This window comes from Homo sapiens, chromosome 1, assembly GCF_000001405.40.
Source record: "Homo sapiens chromosome 1, GRCh38.p14 Primary Assembly".
NCBI lineage: Eukaryota > Metazoa > Chordata > Mammalia > Primates > Hominidae > Homo > Homo sapiens.
Window position 1 is genome coordinate 25,292,862 of NC_000001.11, and position 20,255 is coordinate 25,313,116.

At 46.9% G+C, this 20,255-nt stretch overlaps 2 protein-coding genes and 1 pseudogene across 17 annotated transcripts in view; 1 reads left to right on the plus strand and 2 right to left on the minus strand.

Moving 5' to 3' along the window:
- Window positions 1-20,255, minus strand: part of RSRP1 (arginine and serine rich protein 1) — a 96,006-nt gene that overhangs the window by 50,613 nt on the left and 25,138 nt on the right. For 2 of the 8 annotated variants that reach the window (NR_135792.1, NR_135790.1), the window contains one exon: window positions 9,874-11,960. The exons of 4 other annotated variants lie outside the window; for them this stretch is intronic. The gene's annotated coding sequence lies outside the window, so the exon portion shown is untranslated. Of the gene's footprint in view, window positions 1-9,873; window positions 11,961-13,700; window positions 14,089-20,255 lie in introns of those variants that run through there. 2 more of the 8 variants (NR_135793.1, NR_135791.1) reach the window with 2 other exon arrangements.
- RHD (Rh blood group D antigen) overlaps window positions 1-20,255 on the plus strand; it is a 57,960-nt gene that overhangs the window by 20,376 nt on the left and 17,329 nt on the right. For 3 of the 9 annotated variants that reach the window (NM_001282870.1, NM_016124.6, NM_001282869.2), the window contains 4 exon segments: window positions 8,085-8,232; window positions 8,659-8,825; window positions 10,461-10,598; window positions 13,735-13,868. In NM_001282870.1, coding sequence (NP_001269799.1) covers window positions 8,085-8,232; window positions 8,659-8,825; window positions 10,461-10,598; window positions 13,735-13,868 — 587 coding nt within the window. 9 annotated transcript variants of the gene reach the window in all.
- SDHDP6 (succinate dehydrogenase complex subunit D pseudogene 6) lies at window positions 497-1,808 on the minus strand (annotated as a pseudogene).

The following is a 20,255-nucleotide window of genomic DNA, read 5'->3' on the forward strand; positions in this document are numbered from 1 at the left end:
AACACCCTGCATTTTAGAGGGGGGACATGTGTAAGAGCCAGCAAAGGAGACAGAATTGTGCTTGGAGAGGCAGGAGGAAGCCCAGGAGAGCGTGAGGTCCTGGAAGGCAAGGAAAGAGAGGGCCCCAGGTGGGCTGAATGCTGCTGAGAGGTCAAGTCGGATGAGGGCTGGGAAGTAGCCATTGGATTTGGCCAGGAGACCTTGGCATGCATGGTTGTAGAGGAGGATGAAGGCAACAGCCTGGCTTGACTGATTCAAGAGCAGGAGATGAGAAAGTGGAGACAGCATGCAGGGGCAGCTCTGCCAAGGACTTTGCTATAAAGGGGAACAGAGAAATGGAGGAGAAGCAGGAGGGCAATAATCCGATAGAGAGGAAAAATCTGATGATACAGAAGAGAGATGAACTGCAAGAGTCAAGCCTTTGAGTTGGAAAGCAGGAGTGGGATTTTGAGCACTGATACCTTTAGGCCGATGCAGGGACAGTTCATCTTTTTTTTTTTTTTATACAACATTTTATTTAAAAAAATTATTTTCATAGAATACATTTTCACATTAGAGATTCCCATTGTGCGGAAATAACAATTTATTACTTATAGTTTTATATTTGTGGACAGATTGTTTTAGAACAAGTAGAATACATTTGAGAATTAAATCTCAGTTTACAATGGATAATATTTTGATATGTCTCTGGGGAAACTTGCCCTTAAATGGAACTTCTGTATCTTCAGAAGCACTCCAAGCGTTTCTTCCTAGGATTTAGAAATTTATAATATGAGATAGCAGCATTTCCTAATTTTAAAATTTCCCTAGTATATGTAACCATCAGTAGGTGGTATCTACTGACTAGAGAGGGAAGTTTTTGAAAATTAAACACTGTCTAATTTTCTGCAAAGTTTTTATTCATGAATTAAGAGTATTTCCCTTTGTCCATTATTCCCAAGGCAAATATGGAAATTTGATCATGTACTAATCATAATAAAGCTGGATTCTCTTTAAGAGATTGAGAAATTAAAAGGCAAAAGCTGATATATCATGTTTAGTTATATTGTGAGTCTTATAAGAAGCTGGGAGGCAACCCCATTAACTCACCAGAATACAGAACTCAGTCTCACAACTTAGATATAATTCCTCTCAAACCTTTTCCTCAAAGATTAAATTCTGAAAATAATCTTGTGATTAAGAGAAGAAGGCTGTCCACCAATGGGCTTATCTGTTATTTCTTCCTTATTGTGAGCTTAATGGCATGACAAAGCAGAGGCAAAGAGGCATACATCAATTCTTCAAAGTAGGAAGTCAAAAAGGTCAGAGCTTCCACAGCATGGCAACAGCTTTGCAGATGCCCACATCGTGATAGTTGAAATAGCAAAGCCCAGCAAAGGTTAAAGCTGAAAATGCCAAAAGCCCTGCCTTGGCAGCTTTCTGCGAGGCATCCCCATGAACATAATCAGTAACAACTTGTCCAAGGCCCCAGTGACCATGAAGAGTGAGGGCTGCAGCCAGGGAATAGTCCGTCGCAGAGCAAGGATTCAAATAAGCAGCCGGAAGCAGACCCGGGAGCAAAACACTGACAACCCTCTCGCTAGTCCAGTGGAGAGATGCAGCCTTGGAGCCAGAATGGTGGCTCGGTGACAAGTGTATGTGCTGCACTCCACACCATTCTGGGATAGGTCGGTCCTGAAGAAATGCTGAGATATGAGCAGGTCTGACCACTGGAGTTCGCAGCAACAGAGCTCGGCCTCCTTGGGCACCGCAAACGGCACTCAGCCTCCAGGGAACCGCCATCTCGTTCCTGAGGCGGAGAGTTCATCTTAACGAGAGAAATGGCAGGGACTGTGAATAGGCCGGCAGATTTGGTGGCGGGTGCCACAGGTTCAGTCTCCTGCAGGGAGAGGAGAAAATGCCTTACTAATTCCTTGTATTTTCTCAGAGAAACAAGAGGCACCGTCATCAGCCTCATGTGAGGGTGGGAAGGAGGGATGGGGTTTGCGGAGAGGGAAAGTGTGGTATGGTCATCTGTGGGAGTGGAAGAGAGTGAGAGGGCTGCAGGGGTGCAGCGGGACTGCAGGCTGGCACCAGGGTCCCTAGGGCTTGTAGTTGGTGGAAAGTGCATCAGTGACCAGGGCTGTGTGCAGCTGCTCCAGGCAGGTGTGGAAGAAGCAGAGTTGAACTTGCCCAGCCTGGAGTGCTGCCCAGAGTGAGCCCAAAGCCCAGGGGAGACCAGAGATGGGGCTGTTTGCAAAGGAGGAAGTATAACAGTAGCCCACAAAATCTGAGCTGGTTAAGAAAGGAGAGAGAGTGAAAATGGGGAGCCCAGCCTGGCAGCCTGGGTACACATCTCAGCTCAACCCACACTAGCTGAATCCATTTGGGCCCCTTCGTTGACCTCTCTGTGCCTCAGTTTCCCTATCTATAGAATGGGGATAAGAATAAGGCTACTTCCTAGGGCTGTTGTGAGGATTGAACAAGTGACCGAACACTTGTTCAATTTTGAACACTGTTCTAAAGCATTTAGGACAGTGCCTGGCATGGGGTAAGTGTTGCGGCAGTGCTGTTATTTTCATCATCACCATTGTTCTCAGGCTGCGTTGATTGGAGCTGCTGAAGGGAGGCAATTTAAGGAAGTGAGCCGGACAGATAGGAGGTGGTGGTGGTTATCAGGTGCGATGCTTGAAACTGAGGCTTCGGAGGCAACAGTTACTGGTAATGACAAGGTCTAAGGCTTGACAGTGGGTGGCAGAAGTGTAACGCAGGGAAAGAGACGAGCGGTCAAGGAGCCGAGAGGGAAGGAGTTGGGTGGACTAAGATCATTTGTGGAAGAATGATGGAGAGAAAGGCTGAAGGGCAGGGGCTGACATCATCAGTGACCAAGAGGCGGCCGGGAGGCTGAGACCACAGCAAGAAAGGGAGAGTGTGATGGCATCTTCTTCAAGGGAGCTGGGGATGTTTGGGGTGGAAAAAAGAACAATGGTCTGGGAGGGAATATGGGAAATTTTTTTTTTTTTTTTTTTTTTTTTTTTTGAGATGGAGTTTCGCTGTTGTCATCCAGGCTGGATTGCAATGTTGCAATCTTGGCTCACTGCAACTTCTGCCTTCCAGGTTCAAGTGATTCTCCTGTCTCAGCTTCCCGAGTAGCTGAGATTACAGGCACACACCACCACGCCTGGCTTACTTTTGTATTTTTAGTAGAGACGGAGTTTTGCCATGTTGGCCAGGCTGGTCTCAAACTCCTGACCTCAGGTGATCCACCCGCCTTGGCCTCCCAAAGTGCTGGGATTAGAGGTGTGAGCCACCGCGCCCAGCCTGGAAGTTTGTATTTATTAATTTTTGGTTGTCTTCATCTGTGTATGTGACTTTAACCCCTAAATACTTCAGTGTACATTTCTTTTTTTTTTTTTCTTTGAGACAGAGTCTTGCTCCATCAATCACCCAGGCTGGAGTGCGGTGGTGTGATCTCGGCTCACTGCAACCTCCGCCTCCTGGATTCAAGCAATTCTTGTGCCTCACCCTCCCGAGTAGCTGGGATTAGGGGCATGCCACCATGCCCAGTTAATTTTTGTATTTTTAGTAGAGATGGAGTTTCACCATATTGGCCAGGCTGGTCTTGAGCTCCTGGCCTCAGTTGATCCACCTGTCTCAGCCTCCCAAATTGCTGAGATTACAGGCGTGGGCCACCATAACCGGCCTCAGTGTATATTTCTGATGCAGTTGGGTTCTGTATCCCCCTCCAATCTCATCTCGAATTGTAATCCCCACGTGTTGAGGGCATGACCTCGTGGGAGGTGATTGGATCACAGGGGTGGTTTCCCCCATGCTGTTCTTGTGACAGTGAGTGGGTTTTCAGGAGAGCTGATGGTTTGAAAGTGTGGCACTTCCTCTCTCTCTTTCTCTCTCTCTCTCACCTGACACCACGTAAGATGTGCCTTGCTTCCCTTTCACCTTCCACCATGATTGTAAGTTTCCTGAGGCCTCCCCGGCCATGCCAAACTGTGAGTCAATTCAGCCTCTTTTGTTTATAAATTACGCAGTCTCAGGAAGTATCTTTATAGCAGTGTGAAAACAGACTAACACAATTTCCTAAAACAAGGGGACATTCTCTTACATAACCTTTTTTCAGTTAACAAAAATGAGAAATTGACATTGATATATTATGATTACCTTATTCTCATTTCACCAATTTTCTCAATAATATCTTTTCTAGAAAAAAATATATATTTTTTGTGGTCGAGGATTACATCTTGCATTTAGTTCTCATGTCTTATTAAATTCCATCAATCTGGAGCAGTTTCTTCATCTTTCTTTATCTTTCATGACCTTGACATGTTTTGAAGTTTCGAGCCAGTTCTTTTGTAGAATGTGGGTTTGTCTGCTGTTCCTCATGATTAGATTGTGGGTATGCATTTTTGGTAGGAATTCTCCAAGAGCCGTGTGTGCCCTTCTTAGTATATCATATCAGAAGACATGCTATCAATTTGCCCCATTACTGGGTGTGTTAACTGTGATCATTGGGTTAAGATGGTACCTGCCAGGATCTTCCACTGCAAAGTTACTATTTTCCCCTTTGTAATTAATAAACATCTTGTGAGGAGATAATTTCCTATAGAAATCCTGTTGATCATCCAACTTTCACCCACTGATTTTAGTGTTCATTGATTCTTCCCTGAATAAATTAGTACTATAATAATTGCCAATGGTGGTTTTCTAATTCCATCTTTCCTTCAGTAGTTGGCATTCTTCTGTAAGGAAAAGCTTTCGCTTCTCTGTTCATCCACTCATCTATGTACTTATTTATATCACCATGGGCTCCTGGATTCCGGTTTACACACTTCCATTTTCTGCCTTTTCTCTCTGCTTAATATAAGGATTAATGAGAACTCCCTGATTCCCAGGAAGAAAATGTCAGCAGAGCTTTCTTAGGCGGAATGAAGAGAATTCAGTGTAAGAACCATAAAGGTGTATCTGTGTAGTATGGACAGTTTTAAAAAACAAACAAACACAAAGAACCTCCAAGGGCAGGAGGTGCTGCCAGACTCAGGAGGGCACTAGAACTGGCTATGAGAAGCCACTGAGATCCCAGGTAGTCTGTGCTCTCCATCTTTTGGCTCTTATTCTCTCCGTACATCTAACATCTCTGTACACCAGCTTTCTCTTTAGCGAAAAACGTGTCCCCTCCACCCACCCATCCACCTCCACTTGTTCCTGCATTTCTATGTCCCAGATCCTGCAGAAAACAACTCTTTTCTCTCAGTTAGTCTCAATTCTGTAGTCCAGGGAGAGAGAATCTGATCAGTCCCCTGGGTCATTTTTCCACTCTGGTCCAAGCAGCTACAGCTGGCATGGGAAATAGTTCACACAGTAAAAACATGGCTGTCAAGAAGAGGAGTAAATTTCAGAGGCAGAACACTCCCTGTGAGCCCGAACCTCTTCCTGCTTTGTTGCAGTCTTCATAACGATTGCTTTAAAAGACTGCATTGATATAACATCATCTCTCTTCTCTGCATCTTTGACTTGCTAGCTTAACTGGTCTAGAGGAGGGCTTAGCACTGATTTTGAGTATTCATTTTCCTCAAAACTTCAATTCAGCCTGGGTTTCTTCAGCAGGAGGGCCCGGGGGAACCAGAGCCAGGGACCAGAGTCATTTCAGTGCACCAGCTCAAGAAATGAATATTCCAGGCCAAGAATCCCCAAGTGTTCTTCCTGAACTCCTTCCTGGTGGAGTTCAAAGAGATGAAAAACACAAGCCCGCTTTTCAGTTCTTATCAGGAAACTGCATAGACTTTCCTCTTTATGTATGACTGAGGGCTTTTTACCATCATTTGTTCCCTTCACAAATATTTATTTGGTATTTACTATATACCAGGGACTCTTGTGGCAGTGGAAAATACAACTCTCATGGAACGTCTGTTCCAGAAGGAAAGACTGCCAATAAACAATAAAATAGGCAAAAGATATAGCATGTTAGAGAGTGGTAAGTACCACAGATAAAAATGAAATGGAGAAAAGAAACACGAAAAGTTGGGGAGAGAGGATAACTGTTTGAGAGGGTGGCCAGGGGCAGCTTCATCTTATCAAGAGGGTGATTTTTTGAGTACAGACCTGAAGGTAACGAGTGCACAAGCCATATGGGTACCTGAGAACAGCGGCAGAACAATGGCAGGGTGCTGGGAGGGCTGTTTACCAGCCACGCTGTTTAGAATTGTCAGCACATGGTGATAAAAAAAAAAAAAAAAAAAAAAAAACAGGCTGGGAGCAGTGGCTCATGCCTGTAATCCCAGCGCTTTGGGAGGCCAAGGCGGATGGATCACTTGAGGTCAGGAGTTCGAGACCAGGCTGGGGAACATGGTGAAACCCCGTCTCTACTAAAAATACAAAAATTAGCCGGGCACGGTGGTGGGTGCCTGTAATCCCAGCTACTTGGGAGGCTGAAGCAGGAGAATCGCTTGAACCCAACGGGTGGAGGTTGCAGTGAGCCAAGATGGCACCAGTGCACTCTAGCCTGGCGACAGAGTGAGACTCCGTCTCAAAAATAAATAAATAAATAAATACAAATAAAAAGCAGACAGACTTTTTAGTTGGCTTTAGAATTCTTAGACACCCTCTACAGACAAGGCACCCCGATTGCTTGCACCCAGGGTGGACTACTCCCTCCACCCTGCCCTTGTTACACCCTGGCTGGGGGTCAGCATTTCAGGCAGCTGAATGACCCAAAGTGGGAACACGCTAGTGGGTTTGAGGATGAGCAAGTGGAGGAGGGCAATAGGAGGTGACGCCCGAGAGGTCAGGTGAGAGTGGATCCTGCAGGGTCGTGGCAAGAACCTGGACCTTGACTTTGAGTGACATGGGAGCCGCTGGAGGCTTCTGAGCAGAGGAGTAACATGATCTGACTTGCATTTTATTTTATTTATTTATTTGACGCAGTGTCACTCTGTCGCTGAAGCTGGAGTGCAGTGGCGACATCTCAGCTCACTATAGCCTCCGCCTCCCAGGTTCCAGTGAATCTCCTGCATCAGCCTCCCAGGTAGATAGGATTACAAGCAAGCATCACCACGCCTGGCTAATTTTTGTATTTTTAGTAGAGACAGGGTTTTGCCATGTTGGCCAGGCTGGTATCGAACTCCTGACCTCAGGTGATCCACCCACCTCAGCCTCCCAAAGTGCTGGGATTACAGGCAAAATTAGAATATATCTAGAATTTCCTGAAGACCTTAGTTTGGTATTATAAGAAGTCTGGTTGCTTCATGTTGCAAAATTTATATCACTCATCACTCCCGCAGAGTTAAAATTCCGCTGAGAAGTAGGAATCAGTGAGGTGCGTGTCCATGTGGGTTTTTGCCACACCTAAGTGAACCTTGGTCAAAAGCATATAAGAGCTACTGATAGGCCGGGTGTGGTGGCTCATGCCTGTAATCTCAGCACTTTGGGAGGGAAGGATCTCTTGAGCCCAGGAGTTCAAGACCAGCCTGAGCAACATAGCAAGATTCCATCTTTACACAAAATTTAAAAATTGGCCAGGCATGGTTGTACATTCCTGTAATCCCAGCTACTCAGGAGGCTGAGGTGGGAGGATTGCTTGAGCCTGGGAGTTGGAGACTACAGTGAGCTGTGGCCACACCACTGCACTCCAGCTTGAGCAATGGAGCAAGACTCTGTCTCAAAAAAAAAAAAAAAAGGCCAGGCGCAGTGGCTCATGCCTGTAATCCCAGCACTTTGGGAGGCCGAGGCGGGTGGATCGCCTGAGGTCAGGAGTTTGAGACCAGCCTGGCAAACACGGTGAAACCCCATCTCTACTAAAAATACAAAATTAGCCCAGCGTAGTGGCGCATGCCTGTAATCCCAGCTACTAGGGAAGCTGAGGCAGGAGAATCGCGTGAACCTGGGAGGCAAATGTTCCAGTGAGCCGAGATCGTGCCATTGCACTCCAGCCTGGGCAGAGCCTGCTGGGTTGGGCTGGGTAAGCTCTGAACACCAGTCTCATGGCTTCAAGTCACACCTCCTAAGTGAAGCTCTGAACTTTCTCCAAGGACTATCAGGGCTTGCCCCGGGCAGAGGATGCCGACACTCACTGCTCTTACTGGGTTTTATTGCAGACAGACTACCACATGAACATGATGCACATCTACGTGTTCGCAGCCTATTTTGGGCTGTCTGTGGCCTGGTGCCTGCCAAAGCCTCTACCCGAGGGAACGGAGGATAAAGATCAGACAGCAACGATACCCAGTTTGTCTGCCATGCTGGGTAAGGACAAGGTGGGGTGAGTGGTCTCCTACTTGGGCTGAGCAGAATGGCTCAGAAAAGGCTCTGGCTGAAAAAATCTCCCTCCTTTACCAAGTTCCCCTGGGTGTCTGAAGCCCTTCCATCATGATTCATTTCTTTGAGTAGTGTTTGCTAAATTCATACCTTTGAATTAAGCACTTCACAGAGCAGGTTCAGGAGGCCTGGGGTATGCAGATTTCAACCCTCTTGGCCTTTGTTTCCTTGTCTGTAAAATGTGGTTAGCTGGTATCAGCTTGAGAGCTCGGAGGGGAGACGTGACTTCCCCATCTAACTCTAAGTGACAAGGCTGAGACTCTCCAGCCCTAGGATTCTCATCCAAAACCCCTCGAGGCTCAGACCTTTGGAGCAGGAGTGTGATTCTGGCCAACCACCCTCTCTGGCCCCCAGGCGCCCTCTTCTTGTGGATGTTCTGGCCAAGTTTCAACTCTGCTCTGCTGAGAAGTCCAATCGAAAGGAAGAATGCCGTGTTCAACACCTACTATGCTGTAGCAGTCAGCGTGGTGACAGCCATCTCAGGGTCATCCTTGGCTCACCCCCAAGGGAAGATCAGCAAGGTGAGCAGGGCGCTGCCCTTGGGCAGCACTTGGGTCTAACAGGACTAGCACACATATTTATGCCCCTCCCCACCCCAGGGCCAGCGTGGGTTGGGAGAGGGCATGCCGGGTGGTGGAGCTGTGCCTGCCTCTACAGTGGAGCTCTAGGTAGAATGCTGGGTGGTCACAGTGGGCCTGGGACTCAGGAGACTGTCCAGTGATCAAAGGCTTTCTGGGGGTAGTGATTAAATCCATCCATGCTAACATGAAACAGACCTCAGTTTGAACCCCATTTCTGCTAGTTGCTAAAGTCAGTCACCATGAGCGAGAGTCAGCAGCAACAGACTAGACTAGAATTAGCCAGCCTCTCTCTTCCCCCCAACAAATTTCAAGAATGGAACCATCAGAATCAGAAGTAGAGAAGTATGTGACACTAGCCATGTGGCTCTGGTCAAGCCACTTCAACGTTTTGAGTCTCAGTGGCCTCATCTGTAAAGTGGGAATTAAGAGATGGTGCATGTAAAGTGCTTAACGGGGAGTAAATGGTAGGCAAACATTAGCTGCTGCTATTAGTAAAGAGAGACGATGGTGTGTGTGAGTCTTGTGGGCAGAGATGGGTGAGAGGGGAGACAAAACAAGTTCTCATGATGATGGGGGAAGGGGCTCCAGCTGGTGGTGTCGGAGGGAAGTCTGGACAGACCAGTGGTGGGGCTCGGGTGGGAGGCACTGGGGGGGCTGGAGTGGAAAGAATGTGGCCACAGATGACAGCTTCACAGCAGAATTCAGTGCTAAGAGGAAGTGAGTGGCCATGAGTTCCATGGTGACAGAAAGTCTAAGACACCCAGCAAGGCAGGAGTGGGTGTCAACTCAGGGAAGCCCAGAGGCTAATCCTAGGTGAGAGCTGAGGGTGTCAGATAAGAGCAAGGCAAGGCTCCGGTTCTGGAGCAGTGAAGGACATAGCAGAGCTATGACCCAGGAACAAGGCCCAGCTTATTGAAACTGGGCCCAGTCACACAGGGTGGCACAGGCACCAAGTAGCCAATAATAATAATAAAAACAATAACAATGATTTGTGTCTACTGGGCATTTATTCATGTTCTATGCCAGACACTGGGCTAAGAGCTTTATATGTGGAAACTCATTTAATCCTTACAATAACCTTATGAAGAAGGTACATCCAAAACCCCATTCTTCTAGGCCAGGTGCAGTGGCTCACACCTGTAATCCCAATATTTTGGGAGGCTGAGGCAAGAGGATTGGTTGAGGCCAGGAGTTCAAGACCAGCCCAGGCAACATAGCAAGACCCTGTCTCTAAAAAATAAAACAAAAACCCATTCTTCCCGCTGCCCAGGGACACACCACTAATGAGTGTGATGGGTGCCTAGGATGCTGAGCACCTGGACTTCCCAGCTCATTCCCTAAATGCTGCACAATCAGGGTAACTGTGCCCTGAGCCTAAGAGGCAGTAGTGAGCTGGCCCATCATGTCCACTGATGAAGGACACGTAGCCCCAACACAGGGGAGAAGTGGTTTCAGGATCAGCAAAGCAGGGAGGATGTTACAGGGTTGCCTTGTTCCCAGCGTGCTGGTCACTTGCAGCAAGATGGTGTTCTCTCTCTACCTTGCTTCCTTTACCCACACGCTATTTCTTTGCAGACTTATGTGCACAGTGCGGTGTTGGCAGGAGGCGTGGCTGTGGGTACCTCGTGTCACCTGATCCCTTCTCCGTGGCTTGCCATGGTGCTGGGTCTTGTGGCTGGGCTGATCTCCGTCGGGGGAGCCAAGTACCTGCCGGTAAGAAACTAGACAACTAACCTCCTCTGCTTTGGCTGAAGGCCAGCAGGACGCTGGGACCTGATGGGCCACTGTGCAGTGCACAGCTGCATTAGGCAGGTGTCGGCGCATTCTCTTATTGGCTTCAACGCCTAGTGAGGGATCCATCCTGGCTCGGTGGCGCATTTGTTAAGATGCTCGGGAGCAGGTGGCAGAACCCATTTGAGCTTGCTTGGGCATTGGGGAGAATTTGTTATCAGGCTACTGGGGTGTCACAGAACTCAAGGACAGGGACTGGAGTGTTGTGGGGAGCCCCGAAGCCCCTGTTTTACTTCTTTCTTTGCTTTTCCTGAATATCTGCTTTATTCTTACTCTATAGACATGCTTCCTCCTCTTTCACCCCACATTGTGGGGTGTAGTCTTTTGCTTCAAGAAAGCAGCCTGGTGGATGGAATCTCTTGGCCCCAATCCCAAATTCTCTGGAGAAGGGGCTCTTTGGTTTAACTTGGATAATGTTGTCTTCAGCTGGGGGTGGGCACATCGTGCATATGTGGCTGCTGCCGGGGAACCACGTGGATGATGTGAGAGGAGCAGCACCCAGAAGAGGGAGTGCTGGGCTGATGGTCCAGGTCGTGTCCACTTCTGATTGTTTAATTCTTCTTCTAAGTGGATGGATCTTTCTCCAATACTCAGCAAATCCTGATCGTTCCAGAATACTTCATTATAGCCAATTGGTTATAATGTGCTTCTCTAAGAGAAATATTTAGGGACAACAAATCTTCATGGGTTTGAAGACTTGATGGAGGAAAAAGGAGTAGATTTTCGAAGGCTGGATTTGGATGAACAGGGGCTATTCAGGGAGTGCATTCCAACCTAAAATTAGGAAAAACTGGCTGGGCGCAGTGGCTCACGCGCTTTGGGAGGCCGAGGCGGGCAGATGGCCTGAGGTCAGGAGTTCAAGACCAGCCTGGCCAACATGGTGAAACCCATCTCTACTAAAAGTACAAAAATTAGCCAGGCATGGTGGCGGGCACCTGTCATCTTAGCGACTCAGGAGGCTGAGACACGAGAATCACTTGAACCTGGGAGACAGAGCTTGCAGTGAGCTGAAATCGTGCCATGGCACTCCAGCCTGGGCGACAGAACAAGACTCTGTCTTAAAAAAAAAAAAAGTGGTTTATATACAGAGTGGAATATTATTTAGCCATAAAAAGAATGAAATCCTGTCATTTGCAGCAACATGGATGGAACTGGAGGTAATTAAAAAATAAAATTAAATAAGGAAAAACGTATCAATACTTCGATTAACCAAAACCAGGGCAAATCTGATTTTCATCTTTGCAAGGGGAACAAATTTCTTTTATCTCCTCTGGCTTTGAAACCCTGAAATGAAAGGAGGAAGGGCAGAAAAAAGAACACATAGCAAGTTATCATCAGTCTCAGCGCCCATCGCATTCCCTGAGCTTGTTTCCTTGACTTCATCACTGGCAGGACTATTCAAAAATGATTCGCTCATTCATTCATATATTCATTCATTCATCATTCCTTCATTCAACACATACGTTTTAACACTCATCTTGCTTTTCAAGCTATAGTTTAGTGAGCGAAATGGATACACACAATACAGTGTGAGAACAGCAAGAGGGCACATCTGAGCTAGCCTGGGATGGGTCTGGAAATGCTTCCTGGAGCAGAGGAAACGGTTGACAGCCAAGTGTTGACAGAGAAGTAGTATTAGCCAGGCAGAGACATGGGGAATGTATTCCAGGCAGAAGGCACAGTGTGTATGAAAGCTTATTGTTAAGAAGAGTGTGTGGCCCAACCAGGAAACAGACATTCTAAAGGCATAGGGTCCACCCAGGAGCATGGTGGACCCAGATCCCTGAAAGATGGGAGGTGCTCAGGCACACTTCCTGGGCTAGTTGAGGAGTCTGGATATTTATTTATTTATTTATTTATTTATTTATTTATTTATTGAGACAGAGTCTCATTCTGTCACCCAGGCTGGAGTGCAGTGGTGCAATCTCAGCTCACTGCAACCTCCACCTCCTGGGTTCAAGTGATTCTCCTACCTCAGCCTCCTGAGTAGCTGGGATTACAGGTGCCCACCACCATGCCTGGCTAATTTTCGTGTGTGTATGTATTTTGTTGTTGTTGTTGTTGTTGTTGTTGTTGTTGTTGAGACGGTGTCTCGCTCTTTTGCCCAGGCTGGAGTGCAGTGGCGCCATCTCAGCTTACTGCAAGCTCCGCCTCCCGGGTTCACACCATTCTCCTGCCTCAGCCTCCTGAGTAGCTGGGTCTACAGGCGCCCACCACCACGCCCAGCTAATTTTTTGTGTTTTTAGTAGAGACGGGGTTTCACCATGTTGGCCCTGCTGGTCTTGAACTCCCGACTTCAGGTGATCCACCCATGTCGGCCTCCCAAAGTGCTGGGATTACAGGCATGAGCCACCGTGCCCAACCTGGATTTTTATTCTGAAGACTAATAGGGATTCTAAGGAAGGAACCAGCCTGATTGAATTTGCATATGTGTCCACATCTGCTGGCTCACGGCTGTGTGGGAGGCTGAGTGATGGGGAGGAAGGATTACTGAGTAGGGATCTGAAGGTGTGGCCTCATGCTTTCTTTCTAACCAGCTGTGTTGTCTTTGGGATGGTGCTTAAATTTGGGCTAGACCAGTGGGTCTTGGTCACCCCCCAGGGGACATCTTACAATGTCTGGAGGCGTTCTTGGTTGACACAGTGGGGTGAGGGCTGCTACTGGCAGCTCGTGGGGAGAGACCAGGGATGCTGCTTAACATCCTACAGTACACAGGGCAGCCCCCACCACAAGGAATTATCAGCTGAAATTGTGAACAGTGTCTACACTAGACCCTTGCTACTCATAGTGTGGTCCGTAGACCAGCAGCATTGGCATCACCTGGGACCTTGTTAGAAATGCTGTTAGACCCCACCCCACATCCACTAAAGCCAGCTCTTCATTTCAACAAACTCCCCGATGATGTGAGTGCACATTCAAGTCTGAGAAGGGCTTCTTTGAGGTGAGCCTTAGTGCCCATCCCCCTTTGGTGGCCCCGGATACCAAGGGTGTGTGAAAGGGGTGGGTAGGGAATATGGGTCTCACCTGCCAATCTGCTTATAATAACACTTGTCCACAGGGGTGTTGTAACCGAGTGCTGGGGATTCCCCACAGCTCCATCATGGGCTACAACTTCAGCTTGCTGGGTCTGCTTGGAGAGATCATCTACATTGTGCTGCTGGTGCTTGATACCGTCGGAGCCGGCAATGGCATGTGGGTCACTGGGCTTACCCCCCATCCCCTTAACACTCCCCTCCAACTCAGGAAGAAATGTGTGCAGAGTCCTTAGCTGGGGCGTGTGCACTCGGGGCCAGGTGCTCAGTAGGCTTCGGTGAATATTTGTTGGCTGATTTATTCAGAAATTCTGTCCAGCCCCTACCTTGGATGGATTTATCACCTCTCCAGGCCACCTCTTCTTTCCAAATAGGGCCACCTAGGTATAGACCAAAGACACGAAATCTTTTGTGATCCCACAAACACAGAGCAGGTCAAATAGGCCCAAGCCAATTGAGACTGTGGTTCAGGTCGTGATGCAGAGCTTTGCTGTGGACGTGCTCCCACTGCGTACTAGCTGGGCATGTGGCTTAACCTTTCTCAGCCTCAGTCGCCCCATTGTAAATGGAGATAATGATACTATCTCCCCTCACAGGACTGTTGGGATGCTACTGGATTTAATAAGCTAATGCAGGGACATGCTAAGCACAACCCATCCCTGAGGCCCAGAGAGGGGTGGGCCTTGGCTGAGGTCTCACTGCGAGGTGGGAATGTGGGCCTCCAGACCAGAGGTAGGTCCTGTGGCCCCTAGACAGTGGACAGCAATGGTCAGTTTGACACACCAGAGCCCTAGCCATTACTTCCTGGATGTTGTGTGAATATTTTCTGGACATGGCTTATATAAAATGAAAAAGTGAATTGGGCACGATACAGGGATAGATTTTTAGAGATGAACTGGTAGCATGATGATAATCATATTCACTGATAACATTTACTACTGTTATTGACTGCTTTAAAAGTGTTGGGCATTGTGCTAGAAACCATTATATGCATTATCTCCTTGAATTCTCACAACCGCCTACTGAGGTATTCTCAGACTCTAAGAAATGAGATTTAAGAGAAGTTATCTGCCCAAGGTCACTCGGCTGGAACCTGGCTGTAAAAATGGCTGAAGCAGGTGATGAGGAGCTGATGCGTTTGGACGTGTCTCAGAGAAATCATGGAGGCGCTGCGGTTCCTACCGGTTCTTGGATGCCTTCTACAGAGACAACCATAGCCCCAAATTATAGGGATCACATATCAGTGGGTGAGACATCCTTGCTTGGGATGAGGAGGGGATGAGCTGTGTGAAGCAAGGCGCCTCTGTGATGGGTTCCAGTGATGTGTCTGCCACTGTCTTAATAACTGTGCAATTCTAAGCAGAACCTTTCCTGTCTCTGGGCCTGAGAGTTCCCCTCTGAAAGATGAGGACTTGACCTAGCAAGGTCCTACTCACATGCCTGTAGAGAACAGGCAGGGGAAGTTAGAAAAAAAAAAAAGCCAGTGAAGGAAGGGAGCTCTTCAGCTTGCACCCATCATCACAGTGCAGGGACCCAGGCTCAGTGTTGCCAGATCCAATGACTTCTCAAGAGCTCAAAATCTAGAGTTTTGCATGTGCTCTCCCAAGTACTGGCAGAAAATTCAAGATTGTTAGTAACACTGTGTGGCTAAATTCTGCTTGTGGGCTGCCTAGATTCCCAATTCTGTGATTCTGTGGTTCTCTGGAAGCATTGGTTCTCCACAGCACCTGCATCACTTGGAAACTTGTTAGAAATGCAAGCCCTACCTACGGCCCCACCCCAGACCTACCCAGTTAGAAATCTGGGGGTGGGACCTATCAGTCCATGTTTGAACAAGCCCCACAAGTGTTCTCTTGCAAGCTCAAGTTTTAGAACCACTGACCTATAGCCAAAAAAGAAAAAGCCAATCAGTGGTTTTCTGGTAAAGGATTAACTTAACAAACTGGCTTTCCAAGAAAATAAAGCCTTGATTGGTAGCACTTGCAATTTCTATGGTACAAACGCTTCCCGCATGACTGAGTTCAAGCTGTCAAGGAGACATCACTATACATGGACTTGGGAAGAGATGAGAACAATCAGCCCACTGAGCCTATGGGAACTGGCTCCAGCACATCCCTGCAAGTCAACTCTCATCAGGGTGAGTGAGTTGAGGACCAAGAAGCAGTTATCCTCTTGCCTTTGCAGGACCCAGGCAAAGGGAAGGGCATAGTGACAGTGATGATCTCTCTTCCGGAAGTCTTTGGTTTGCTGAGAGTAAAAGGCGTGGGCTTCACCAGTGGTGAAGCCAGTCATGCAGCCTTAGTCCTGGTACTGAAACTCTCTAAATCTCAGTTTTCTATCTGTAAAATGGGAAAATAAGACCTATGTCACAGGGTTGCTGTGCAGATTTAGCAACAGAACATAGCCCCGTTCTTTATGATGACTGATGCTGCATCCGTATGAGGACATCTCTATGTAATGGAAAGATGGAGAGAGGATTAAGCGCAAAGTCACAACACTTAATGGGAACTGTGGATTAGCTACTTGGTGGCATTGGGCAAGTCAGTTGACTTTGCATTAATTCCACAAACAATATTTCCCAATTTCCTATTCAGATGAGCATATGTGATTGAGTCAGATGCTGTGATCAGAACCAGGATGGAGCATTTCCCACAAACTGTGGGATTTTTAAGTAATGGGAAGGCACACTGAAATGGCACTGAATCATGCAGTTGCAGATACTCTTTTTCAATTCTCAGTCCTTTGATTACGTCAGGGAGAAAAGAAAGTCCCCACTTGGCCTGAGAATCTCTGCACCCTTCTAGCTCTTGTTAACCACTCTTTTGAATAGCAGAGAAAACCTCAGACTGCCATATCTGGGAGAGATTTTAGCAACATTTTGTTTTCATTGTATCTCTTTTTACAGCTACCTCCCATTTCCCTTCTATTTCAAGCTAGTAACTCAGTTTTCTTTTAAATTCAATTATTTAAATGTAAAAATAAGTCTATTTGGAGAAAAAAAATTTTAATAGCATCTCTGGAATGCCAGTATGGCTAAATTCATGAATGTTGTCCTCAAATGCTGAAATCTGGGAAGCATCTGGCCAAGCTTTGTGGACAGGCCTGCCTAGTTTGAATCCCAAGAGCCACCCAGTCCAAGCCACAAAACATTGGAATTCTTGGTTCACTTCCCTAACCTGAACTTGCCCTCTGTGAAATAGGGACACTAATAGCTCACTCACAGGGCTGCTGTGAGGACATGTGTTGAGCTGAGGGTCTCGCCAGGGGAGACCCTGTGCAGGGAGACTGTTATCATGGTGATGGATTTCTGCTTCATTCATTTCTTTTTCCAGACAGCATCATATAGAATGAGTTGTGGGGTGGCAGTCAGCAGGTTTGGGTTTATCCTCTATTCTGCCACTTATTACTTAAAAAAACCCCAAAAAACCCAACTTATATAGTATAAGCTATATCCAGAAAAGTGCAAATATCATACAAGTACCATTTGATGAATCTTCTGATATCCCCACATAACCAACACCCAGAACCTCTTCTTGTCTCATTCCAGGATAACCACTAACCTGACTTCTAACAGCATCAGTCAGTTTTGTCTGTTTTTGTACATTATATATGTGATGGTTTGAATGTGTCCCCCAAATTTCATGTGCTGGAAACTTAATCCTTCAATTCATATGTTGATGGTTTTTGGAGGAAGGGCCTTTGGGAAGTAATTAGGATTAGATAAGGTCATGGGGTGAGGTATGATGGCACTGGTGACTTATAAGAAGAGAAAGAGAAATCTGAGCTGGCATGCTCTTGCCCTCTCACTGTGTGATGACTTCTCCATGTCATGATGCAGCAAGAAGGCCCTCACCAGATGGTGGCACCATGCTTTTGGACTTCCCAGCCTCTAGAACTGTGAGCTAAATCAATTTATTTTCTTTATAATCACCCAGTTTGATATTTTGTCATAGCAACAGAATATGGACAAAGAAAGAAAATTAATGCAAGAAGTAGAGTTTTTACTGTAACAGATTCCTGAAAATGTGGAAGTGGCTTTGGAACTGGGTGATGGGAATAGGTTGGAAGAGTTTTGAGGAGCAGGCTAGAAAAAGCCTGTATTGTCAAGAATGGAGCATTATGCCAGGCACGGTGTCTCAGGCTTATAATCCCAGCACTTTGGGAGGCCAAAGCAGGTGGATCACCTGAGGTCAGGAGTTCGAGACCAGCCTAGCTAACATGGTGAAACGCTGTTTCTACCAAAAATACAAAAAATTAGCTGGGCGTGGTGGCGCACACCTGTAATCTCAGCTACTCAGGAGGCTGAAGCAGGAGAATCACTTGAACCCAGGAGGCAGAGGTTGCAGTGAGCTGAGATCGTGCTATTGCACTCCAGCTTGGGCAACAAGAGCAAAACTCCATCTCAAAAAAAAAAAAAAAGAAAGAAAAAGAATGGAGCATTAAAGACAGTTCTGCAGTTCTGGTGAGGGCTTAAAGGAAGACCCCAGAACTAGGGAAAGTCTGGAACTTCTTAATGGTTACTGAAGTCGTTGAGATCAGAGTGCTGATAGAAATATGGCTGGTAAAGGCCATTCTGATGAGGTCTCAGATAGAACTGAAGAACCACGTGTTGGAAACTGGAGCAAAGGTCATCCTTTTTATAAAGAAGCAAAGATCTTAGCTGAACTTTTTCTGTGCCAGAGTCATTTATGGAAGGCAGAAAATCTGTAGGTCAGCCATGTTGTAGGGAATGAAAGAACATTTTCAGCTGAGAACACTGAGAGTGTGACACAACTACCGACTGATAAGAAAACTAGTACACATAAATTAGCCAGGCGTGGTGGTGGGCGCCTGTATTCCCAGCTACCTGGGAGGCTGAGGCAGGAGAATGGCATGAACCCGGGAGGCAGAGCTTGCAGTGAGCCAAGATCGCGCCACTGCACTCCAGCCTGGGCGACAGAGCAAAACTCCGTCTCAAAAAGAAAAAAAAAAGGAAGAAAGAAAATTAGTACACATAGAACAAAGCCAGAGGCTGTTCATCAGGACAAGGGAGAAAAACTCCAAAGCCATTTCAGAGATCTTCAAGACTGCCCCTCCCATTACTGGCCCAGAGCTCTAAGAGGGCAGAATGGTTTGGAATGACCAGCTGCTGCCCAGGGCTGCCTTGGGTCTCTGCTCCCCACATTTCTGGTGCAGCATTCCTCAGCCATCCCAGCTGTGGTTCAGGTGGCCACAGGTGTGATGTGGAAGGTAAAAGTCATAAACCTTGGCAGCATACACATGGCACTAATTTTGCAGGTGTGCAGAATGCAAAAGCTGAGGGGGCATGCCTTCTTCCACCTACATTTCAAAGGGTGCTGTGAACAGCCACCCCAGAGAGCCCCTAGTAGAGCAGGGTCTAGTGGAGCTACAAGGGTGGGGCCACCGCCAAGACCCCAGAATGGTAGAGCTATCATAGTGCAATGCCAGCTTGGGAGAACTGCAGGCATGAGACTCCAACCTGTGCGAAGTGCAACATGGGCAGAACCCAGCAAAACCACAGGGGCAGAGCTCCCCGAAGCTTCGGGGGTCCAAATTCCATAGTGTGTCCAGGAGGTGGCACACAGAGTAAAAGATCATTCTGAAGGTTTAAGGTTTAATGTTGTTTTCTATGTTGGGTTTTGTACTTTCCTGGAACCAGTTACCCTTTTTCCCTTGCCTCTTTTTCCTTTTAGAATGGGAATGTCTGTCCTATGCCTGTTCCACTGTTGTATTTTGGAAGTCAATAACTTGTTTTGACTTTACAGGCTTACAGCCAGAGGGAATCTCCCATAGAATGAATTGTACCTTAAGTCTCACCCACATCTGATTTAGATGAGACCATGGACTTTGGAATTTTGAGTTGGTGCTGGAACAAGTTAAGACTTTGGGGGTTGTCTAAGTGTGGTGTTTCATGCCTGTAATCCCAGTGATTTGGGAGGTTGAGGTGGGAGGATTGCTTGAGCCCAGGAGCTCAAGACCAGCCTGGGCAACATAGTGAGACCTGTCTCTACAAAAAATAAAAATAAAAAAATTAGCCAGGTATTGTGGCATATACCTGTAATTCTAGCTACTCAGGAGGCTGAGGTGAGAGGATCACTTGAGCCCAGGAGTTTGAGGCTGCAGTGAGCTATGGTCGTGCCACTGCATTCCAGCCAGGGCAACAGAGTGAGACTCTGTCTCTACAAATAAAATTAAATAAACTTAGCTGGATATGGTGGCACACATCTGTAGTCCTAGCTACTCAGGAGGCTGAGACAGGAGGATTACTTGAGCCAAGGAGTTTGAGGCTGCAGTGAGCTATGATCATGCCACTGCATTCCAGCCTGGATGATAGAGCAAAATCCCATCTCTAAAAAAAAAAAAAAAAAAAAAAAAAAAAAAAAAAACTTTAGTGCTATTGGAATGAATTTTGCATGTAAGAAGGACATGCATTTTGGGGGCTGGGGCAGGATGCTGTGGTTTGAATGCATCCCTCAAATTTCATGTGTTGGAAACTTAATCTCCAAATTCATATGTTGATGAAATTGGAGGTGAAGCCTTTGGGAGG